Consider the following 10738-nt stretch of genomic DNA (forward strand, 5'->3'; position numbering starts at 1 on the left):
CACTTAATGGTCCTCTAATCTGAGATCAGAAATGAGGTAAGAATACTTCCATCACAGTTGTTGTTTTGTTTTGTTTTGTTTTGTTTTGTTTTTGAGATAGAGTCTCACTCAGATGCCCAGGCTGGAGTGCAGTGGCACAATCTTAGCTTACTGCAACCTCCACCTCCTGGGTTCAAGCAATTCTCCTGCCTCAGCCTCCAGAGTAGCTGGGACTACAAGTGTGCACCACTACACCTCGCTTTTTTTTTTTTTTTTTTTTTTGTATATTTACTAGAGACGAGATTTCACCATGTTGGCTAGGCTGGCTCGAACTCCTGACCTCAAGTGATCCACTTGCCTCACCCTCCCAAAGTGCTGGGATTACAAGCATAAGCCATTGTGCCTAGCCTCATCAAAGCTTTATGCAATATTATATTGCAGATCTTATCCAGTGAAATAAGTCAAGAAATGGAAATAAAATATATAAAGATTAAAAAGGAAAAAATATGTGTCATATATAGATAACGTGACTATATATGTGGAATGTCCATAAAAATCTATAGATAAATTTTTTAAGTTAAGAAGTAAATTCATCCATGTTGCTGGATGCATGGTTAATATACACACACACAAAATTAATCAATTCTGCTTCTGTAAAAAAACAATAAACAAGTAGAAAATAACAAGTTTTAGAAAGATACCGTTTACAATAGCATTAGTAAACAATAGCATAAATAAAATACTTGGAATAAATAAAACCAAAGAAATGCAAGACCTTTACACAAAAAACTGTAAAACAGGCTGAGCCAAACTGCAGAAGGCCTAAAGAAAATGGAGGGATATACTATGTTCATAGATTGGAGCACTGATTCATAAAGTGGAAGATGTACTATCAAAATGCCAGTTGTTTCTCATATTGATCTCTGCAGATTTAAAAAAATTACAATCAACATGATGACATTTTAATATTTGAAGTTGACAAGTTATTTATTAAATTTATATGGAAATGAAAACATCCATAAACAGTCAAGACAAACTTGAACAAAAATGGACTAAGTTGGACTTACACAGTCAGATATCAAGGCTTAATAGAAAGCTAAGGTAATTAGCTTTGTAAATGGCCAAAATATAGACAAACCCACAAACTGAGTAGGATAGAAAGTCTAGATATCCACATATATCCAGTCACATGATTTATAAAACGGAAAGGGTTACACTATAATTGGAAAAGACTTTTTTCCAATTACAGTGCCACCAACTAAGAAAAAAATGAATCTTGCACTTTACTTCACACCATACGTGTATATTAATTCCAGCAGCATTGTAGATCTAAATATGAAAGACAAATCAACAAAACTTCTAGCAGTTAACATAGAAGAATATCATCACAATTTTGGCATATGCAAACTTTCTTAAATAGGATACCAAAATCACACACTATGAAGGATAAGATTAACAAATGTTACTACATTAAAATTAATAAGTTCTGTTCATTAAATTAGATCCAGAGAATGAAACTTAAGTCACAAAGTGGTATAACACACAGTTAAATACTGTATAGAAGTTAGAATAAATTAGCTCTTCCTGCATACAACAGCACAGGTGAATCTCATAAACATGTTAGAGAAAGAAGCCAGACACAAAAGTGCACACGTTAAATTCATTAATATAAAGCTCAAAAAGTGAAAAAACAAATTTGCGGTGTCAAAAGTCAAAACACTGGTTACTTTTGGGTGCACAGTGCCTGGGAGGGGGCAAAAGGGAGTCTTCTCTTCCAGGGTGCTGGTACTATTCTATTTCCTGTTTTGGGTAGTATTGACCTTGTAAAAACATTTCACATTTTACCTAGGCTTTTTGTACATTCTGTATGCTTGTTATACTTCACTTAAAATGTTCAATAAAAACAAAGACAATCTTCTCTTATTCCCACTTCCTCTACCAGTTACCTTTCCATTTCTTTGTACCATATATAGCAAAACTCCTAAAAAGAGTTGTTATTACCTCCAATTTCTGTTTACTTACTCTCTCTTAAACCCATTCCAATCAGGCTTCTCCTCACCCCCCAACCCCCACATCATACCAACAAAACTGTTGTTGTCATGGATACTGATGACCGCCACATTGCTAAGTCCAGTGGTCACTTCTCAGTTCTCACTTCACTTCACCTGTCTGCAGTATTTGGTGCAGTCGTCTCTCTATCCCAATAGACGTGGATGCCTTCTCTTGGCTCTCAGGACACCACTCTCCCAGTGTTACTCTTACTTCGCTGGCAGTTTCTGTTGGTATCCTTTAATGAGTCCTCCTCGTTTTCTCAAACTCTTCATTTTGGAAAGTCCTAGCCACTCAGTACTTGGTCTGCCTTGCCCCTCCATCTAAGCTCACTTCCTTGATTAAATGCCATTTATGTACTGATGACTCACAAACACAAATCTCCCAGCTTGGGCCTCTCCTCTGAGTCCAGACTCGTGTTCCCAGTTGCCTGCTCAACATCATTACTGGGATGTCCAACAGACCCTTAAACGTGGCATGTTCAAAGCGGAACTCATGATCTTACCACAAACCTGCTCTACCGCAATCTTCTTCACTCGGTAGAGGGAAAACTTTATAATTCCAGTCATTTAGGCCACAAAATCTTTACATCATCCTTGAATTTCCTCTTTCTGTTATATTTCCCATATGTTTCCTATCCTACCAGTCTATCAGAAAATACTATAGGCTCTACCCTCAAAATACATCCATCCCTTCGCTACCACCCTGGAATAAGTCATCATTGTTCCTAGCTCAAATAACAATAGCTTCCTAACTGTTGCCCCTGTTTCCACTCTTGCCTCCTTAAAATCTATTCTGGATCATTACTAGAGTGATCCTCAAGAACATGAATATAATCAGGTCACAGTGCCAAAATTCTTGCAAGGATCTGCAAAGACCTGGTCCCTACTCCCTCTCTGTTCTCGTCTCCTCCTCTCCCTTCTCCCCAACTCCCTCCACCCTGACTCCTGGCTATTCCTTGAGTGTGTCTGGCAGGCTCTGGCTTTACACTCTTTGCACCATTGGTTGTTTGCTATGCCTGGAGTATCCTTTGGGTATCTGTATGCTGAATTCCCTCACCAATTTCAAATCTTTGCTCAAATGCCACCTTGATGACATCTTTCTAATCCTCTTATTTAATGCAGAAGACCTCTTTCCACTATACGCTGATCTAATTTTCTTTCTTATTTTTATAAAGAACTGATCACCCTCTAACACCCTAGATATTTCTTTGGGTGTTTTATTTACTGCCTATTTTCTGCCTTCCCCCGCCTTTGTGTCCACTGGTATATCTTCAGCAATATGTGGCATATAAGATGTACTCAATAGTGTTTCTACAATGAATTAATTTGTGAGATTAGAATAGCAGAAGGAAGAGTAGGTTTTAAAGGAAAATTGAGTGTTTCTTTTTAAAACTTTTTATCTAAAATGCCTCCCAGATATCCAGTTGCAGACAGCTAACAATTACATATCTCAATGTATTAGACTAAAGTTCTAAACTGGATACAAATATATATATGAATTATTAAATGTATATGAAAATATAGAATGGGTGAAATAATCTAGGGAGTGAGTGTAGATGGGAAATATTTAGAAAAGGGTGTATCAAAGACCGAGAAAAACAACCAATACATTTGGAGAAATACTAGATGTATGTAGCTCTGAAATTTTGTATTTCTTGGTAAATTTCATGATGCGATGAAAATAGAGGAAGTCAAGCAGAAATCCAACTAGTTAATTAATTAATGTGACTAGTACATAACCATTTAAAGCTTACATATATGTATATGATGTTTTGATGATGATGATCTGTAAAATAATAATTTATTAAAACATAAAGATATTATTTAGGACAGTTCAAACAGGTGACCAGTTTCAAACTTGGAACAGGATAATTCTCATCCTGTTCCTAAAAGCAGATAGTAAGCAAAAGTCACAGCTTATCTTTACGAGTAAATAAGTGTCCCCTTTGTGTGCACATGATTTTTGTGTGTGGTATCAAGCTGTCACAGATGCGCAGGATATAGCATTTCAGGTGCCTCTGGAAACAGAAGCAGGCCTCAAGTGTCCACAGCTGACCTGAGTGTGGACGCTCAGGGCCTCAAGTGTCCACAGCTGACCCTGAAATTCTCCCTAGGTGCCTCTCTTGCCCCCTCCTGTCCTGTATCACTGTTTCGCCCTGAACTTTAAACTTGGTGACAACTCCATACTTGAGTCCTAAGGAGATGCTGCTTTCCACTCCATAATCTTAAAGAGACTAAAAATATTTACTTAAAAACTTAGCTTAACCAAATAACTATGCCTTTGGAAATAATTGTTTGGAAAGCTAAAGCAAAATATAGCTATCACACAGGTGCAGTGAGAATGTGGTAAGTTTTAGATGTCACAAGATGCTCAGTTAATTCTGGAACTTGTTTCCTGATCATTGCTTCCCAAGACCCTTTGTGGCCTGTCAAAGGGGCACGATTTTCATTCTACTTTCTGCTCTCTTCCCTTCTAGGGTCCTTCTAGCTTTGCTCTAGCTCTTGGTTCAGCAGAAGGAAAAAGAAGACACAGTATCCCCAAGTCCTCCCTGGACTTCTGGTCTTGTAGTGAGTTCTTGCCCCACCTCTCCAAAAAGGCCCTAGGATACCTGCTCTCATAAGGCCCACTTCCCACCTTGCTCCATCGCTCTGTGTGTCTCTGTGCTGTGGAGCTGTTCTATGCCACATTCACTACGTCTTCCTCAGGGAAGCAGGGCACCTTCATTTGTTGTGCTGAGCTCAGGCCTCAGAGGGCACAAGTGACCGCCGTATTGCTCAGTCTTCATCTTGAGCTCCTTGGCAGGTATCACATCCTTTTCTCACCTGGAGGAAGAATCCCAGCCCTTCCCATTTCCAGGCTCTGAATTCTCTTTGGATGCTTCCAGGAAATTTGTTTTCTAGGCTAAAGAAAATCTCTAATTCTTGGTTTATTTGCAAAATAGAAATTATTGCTGAGTCATATGTCAAGAGCATGAATTCCTTTCCACAGAGTCCCTAAGACTCACTCCAATAATTAAGGAAATAATTCTCTAGAGTTTGACAATAGCAAAATGATTTAAATGCACATTGAGTAGAATGTTGATATAATTTCTACCAAAAGCAGGGTGGTAAGTATTTTCCCACAGTTTCTACATACATTCTTGCCTTTAACAATGTAGTTTAACATCCTGACCCATACAATAATATAAATATGCTTTTGAAATTGAAACACGAATACCAGAATATATTCACTTACACTTCACATTCTTCCAAAAATAACTTGAGGAAGGATATCATAAATATTCCCAATTACCTTAATAGTTGGAAGCATAGAACATTTACAGAGAACTGAGAATTTAAAGTGAACTAAATATCTGAGTAAATTAGCTCAGAGAAGAGGCTCCAAGTGTTCAAATATTGATTTTCACTGCAAAGAAATACTGTTCCTTGCCTCACAAAATTAATGAAGCTCTGTGTTAATTAATCACTACGCCTCTATAATAAGAGGCTGCCAATCAGCCTGTCAGATTGTTTACTGCTGAAATCCTAGCCTAACATTCATCTAATGATCTAAGTTAAATTTAACCCATGTCTCAGGACCTCAAACATAATTTCAAATCACAACACTGATCATAGCTTTAGAATCCCATATGTGCATCTTTGCTTTTCCATTACAGTAGCCAAGACCCAGGATCATGTTGAGCCTCCTGGTCCAAGGCTGAAACTTAGCTGAACCTTCCTAGGCTATGAAAATCTAGCTAATATACAGAAAGTCTATGCATATTTCTTTTCAGTCTCATAGAGTAATATGCTTGATAAAGAATTTCTTTTCTGCTATTAACTAGAAAATTACTAAACTATTTGATACATTTATAACTAAATCTTTAAAATTTGGGACGAATATACCATCAACTAGAAATAAATTAGAAATAATGGTTTCACTTACAGTGCTGAGTTTATATTTTTATTCAAAACTTAAGACTTTTGGCCTATTACCCTTTTGTGATTTTTCTTCTTTTTTACAGTGTTACAGACATACCTTGGAGATATTGTGGGTTCAGTTCCAGATCACCACAATAAAGTGAGTATTGCAATAAAGCAAGTCACACAGATTTTTTGGTTTCCCAGTGCATATAAAAGTTATGTTTAAACTATACTGTAGTCTATTAAGTGTGTAATAACAATGTACATATCTTCATTTAAAAATACTTTACGGCTAAATGTGCTATTGATAATCTTAGCCTTCAGAATCATAGTTTTTTTTGCTTGTGGCGGGTCTTGCCTCAATGTTGATGGCTGCTGCCTCATCAGGGTGGTGGTTGCTGAAGATTGGGATGGCTGTGACAAAATTTATTAAAATGAGACAAAAATGAAGTATGCCACATTGATTGACTCTTCCTTTTATGAGAGATTTCTCCGTAGGATGTGATGCTGTTTGATAGCATTTTATCCACAGTAGAAATTCTTTCAAAATTGAAGTCTATCCTACTGTTTTATCAAGTAAATTTATGTAATCTCCTAAATCCTCTGTTGCCACTTCAACAATGTTCACAGCATCTTCCCCAGCAGATTCAATCTCAAGGAACCACTTTCTTTGCTCATCCATAAGAAACAACTCCTCGTCCATTAAAGTTTTATCATGAGATTGCAGCAATTCAGTAACATCTTCACACTCCACTTCTAATTCTAGTTATCTTGCAATTTCTACAACATCTACAGTTACTTCCTCCACTGAAATCTTGAACCCTTCCAAGTCTTCCATAAGAGTTAGAATCAACTTGTAAATGTTGATATTTTGACCTCCTCCCATGAATCACAAATGTTCTTAAATGGCATCTAGAATGGTGACTCCTTTGCAACAGGTCTTCAACTGACTTTGCCCAGATCCATTAGAGGACTCACTGTCTATGGCAGCTATAGCCTTATGAAATATATTTCTTAAATAATAAGACTTGAAAGTCGAAATTACTCCTTGATCCATGAGCTGCAGAATGGATGTTGCATTTGTATGCATGAAAATACATTAATCTTGTACATCTTTATCAGAGCTCTTGGGTGACTAGATACATTGTCAATAAGCAGTAATATTTTGAAAGGAATCTTTCTTTCTGAGCAGTAGTTCTCAACAGTGGGCTTAAAATATTTAGTAAACCATGGTGTGAACATGTGTGCTGTGATCCAGGCTTTGTTGTTTCATTTATAGAGCACAGGAAAAGTAGATTTAGCGTAATTGTCAAGAGCCCTAGGATTTTCAGAATAGTAAATGAGCATCAGCGTCAACTTAAAGTCACAAGTTGCTTTAGCCCCTAACAAGAGAGTCAGCCTGTCCTTTGAAGCTCTGAATCCAGGCATTGACTTGTCCTCTCTAGCTATGAAAGTCCTAGAGAGCATCTTCTTCCTACGTAAGGCTGTCTTGTCTACATTACATTGAAAATCTGTTGTTTCACGTAGCCACCTTCATCAGTCATCTTAGCTAGATCTTCTGGGTAACTTACGCAGCTTCTACATCAGCACTTGCTGTTTCACTCTGCACTTTTATGTTATAGAGATGACTTCTTTTCTTAAACCTCATACATCCAAACTCTGCTAGCTTCAAACTTTTTTTGGGCACCTTCCTCACCTCTCTCAGCCTTCATAGAATTAAAGGTTAGGGCCTTGATCTGTATTAGGCTTTGGCTTAAGAGAATGTTGTGGCTGGTTTGAACTTCTATCCAGATCACTAAAACTCTTCATATCATCAATAAGGCTGTTTCACTTTCTTATCGTTCATGTGTTCACTAGAGTAGCACTTTAAATTTCCTTCAAGAACTTTTCTTTTGCATTCCTAATTCGGCTAACCATTGGTGCAAGAGGCTGAGCTTTCAGCCTATCTTGGCTATTGACATGGCTTCCTCACTAAACTTTGGCTTTAAATGGGAGACCTGCAACTCTTCTTTTCACTTGCACACTTGAAGGCCATGGTAGGGTTATTAATTGGCCTATTTTCAATATTGTTGTGTCTCAAAGAATAGAGAAGCTAGAACAGTCAAGACACACAACATTTATCACTTAAGGTCACTGTCTTCTATAGATGTGATTCATTGAACCCAAAACAATTGTAATAGTAACACCAAATGTGACTGATCACAGATCACCATAACAGATACAGTAATGAAAAAGTTTGAAATATGGTGAGAATTATCAAAATATGACACAGAGACACAAAGTGAGCACGTACTGTTGGAAAAATCGTGCCTATAGACTTGCTCGACACAGGGTTGCCACAAGCTTCAATTTGTACAAAACACAGTAACTACGAGATACAATAAAGCAAAGCACAAGAAAACGAGGCACACCTGCACTTATATCAAGCCACTTTCCTTGAAAATGAAGGCTATAGGATTTAAGAAAGCAATCCTAAGGAAATGTTATTCTCTATGGCACTTAATGATTTTAGAAGTATATTAAACAATTTCTTAAAGGGTCTTTTCCAACTTTGTGTTTGGTAAACTTTTGTGTGATGGAAAAACGTGTCCAAAGCGAAGATTCAATGGACTCACACATTTCAATCATTTACCTTACATTGGATGGCCAACAGGCTCTCTGTAAGTGGTGTGTTATTTTTGTCAATGGGGTTTCCATTCAGATGGTTTCCCGGGAGCAATGACACAGGAGTGGGGAGGGTAAAGGCAGGGCTAAGGGTTCAGGAAAAGGAAAAATCACACAGTACAGCTAGCCTGGGAACTAGTCCATCTGTGGTCAAAGAACAGCCAGGGGCTCCTACCAGGTGACTAATCTATGGTCAGCCCATGTCTTCAAGTTTAGGGTCAGGCTATTGTTTCAAGCAGCATTGTTGAATAAGGCAGCCAGGATCCACCTGGGACAGGTGAGCTGCTCTAACCCTCAGAAAGGCTGACTTGGATTTTGCCACATGGCAGCAGCCATTTTCCAAGAGAACAATCCCCAATGCAAAGCATTTTTAATTTGTTTTTATTTTTGTTTAGTGCTGTTGTTGTTGCTTTGTTTTATTTATTTTTTAAATTGGCAAGTAAAACTTGTATGTATTTATTGTGTATAATATGTTTTGAAATACTGTAGATATACATTGTGGAATGGCTAAATTGAGCTAATTACCGTATGCATTACCTCACATACTTATCTTTTTTTTTTTTTTTTTTTTTTTTTTTTTTTTTGCAGTGAGGGCACTTAAATCTACTCTCTCATCAATTTTCAAGAACACAATACTTTACTATCAACTACCATCACCATGTTGTACTATAGTTCTCTTGAACTTACTCCTCTTATCTGGCTGAAATTTTGTATCCCCTTCAAGCCTCTGCTTCTGTAACATTTACCAATGTCTCATTGGACAAAGCAAACCACATGGCCAAGCCCAGAGTCAATGCAGGGGGCGGCCACACAAAGACATGGATACCAGGAGGCATAAAACTGTCAGATTTTACCATCATAATTTACCACAGTTAGCCATGTCAGGTAATGTACTGACTAGAGAGCAGGATATAAGCAGGGGAATAGTAGGAAATACTACATGAAAAGTAAATCACCATTATATTTTGGGAGGCTTGAAACTCCATGGTGAGAAATATACATTTAATTTGTCAGGTTCATAAGGAACCACTGAATGTTTGCAGTAGAAAAGTTCAATATGTGTAGGCCAGGTTAGTTGTTTTTTGTTTGTTTGTTTGTTTTGTAGTTTTTGAGACAGGCTGTTGCTCTGTCACCCAGGCTGGAGTGCAGTGGTGTGATCTCAGCTCACTGCAACCACCACCTCCCAGGTTCAAGTGATTTTCCTGCCTCAGCCTCCCGAGTAGCTGGGACTACAGGCATGTGCCACCACGCCCAGCTAAATTTTGCATTTTCATTACAGACAGGGTTTCACCATATTGGCCAGGCTGGTCAACTCCTGACCTCAAGTGATACGCCCGCCTCAGCCTCCCAAAGTGCTGCTGGAATTACAGGCGTAAGCCACCGTGCCCAGCCTAAGCATCTTGATTTTAAATAAACACACCTAAAAGAGCATAGTCTAAAGTGTCCAGCTTCAGTTCTTTTCAAGAAAAGTGAGGACATAAACATACTTGGGAGGAAATCTAAGTACAGGACACTTCTAGATTTTCATTGATTTTTCGAATCCATTGTTTTCTTACCATTTCCTATTTGGGGAGCAAAATCTTTTTTAGCAATTTATCCTTGGGTCCTTTTCAAAGCATTCAACTTATTTTTCATAAAAACAATTATTCTTTTTTGTCCTACTTCATCAGTTCACAAGATATTCAAGTAAATTATAAAACTAAAATGTAGAGTAGAACTGGTACACATCAGTTTGGGGAAAGCATGTAATTGATGGTTAATAAACACACAACCCAGTCATGTGAGAAGAGGATCTGGGGTTCCAGAGAGTTAGCGTACTAGCTGTGGGATCCAGAGGCAGTGAGCATCACTCACAGATGTTATCAATGGCATCCATGCCATGGACACTAGAGATTAATTTCAGAGAGCCAGTTAAATGGGAATCAGATGAAGAGTTTCTTTTGTAGATTTTGTGCTAGCTTGAAGGATAGCAGGATGGTAACAAATTGGTAGTGCTGTGAAACATGTTTACTGGCTATTTGAAAGATCATTAATTAGCAATATTAAACCATATGGGGTTTTGTTTAGGTTTTTGGTTGTTGTTGTTTTACATGTACAAGTCATTTATTTAGTAAACTTAAATTCCAGTGTGTACTCTAGGT

General features: G+C 37.8%; 1 annotated feature.

The window, feature by feature from the left end:
* Positions 4243–5442: an enhancer, noted in NCBI's record as "MED14-independent group 3 enhancer chr18:52642293-52643492 (GRCh37/hg19 assembly coordinates)". NCBI's record gives its function as "activates an origin of replication core promoter dependent on BRD2, BRD4, P300/CBP and CDK7 cofactors, and independent of MED14, by STARR-seq in HCT116 cells {active_cell/tissue: HCT116}" and the evidence as "EXISTENCE:reporter gene assay evidence [ECO:0000049][PMID:35650434]".

Source organism: Homo sapiens, chromosome 18 (assembly GCF_000001405.40).
Source record: "Homo sapiens chromosome 18, GRCh38.p14 Primary Assembly".
Classification (NCBI taxonomy): Eukaryota; Metazoa; Chordata; class Mammalia; order Primates; family Hominidae; genus Homo; species Homo sapiens.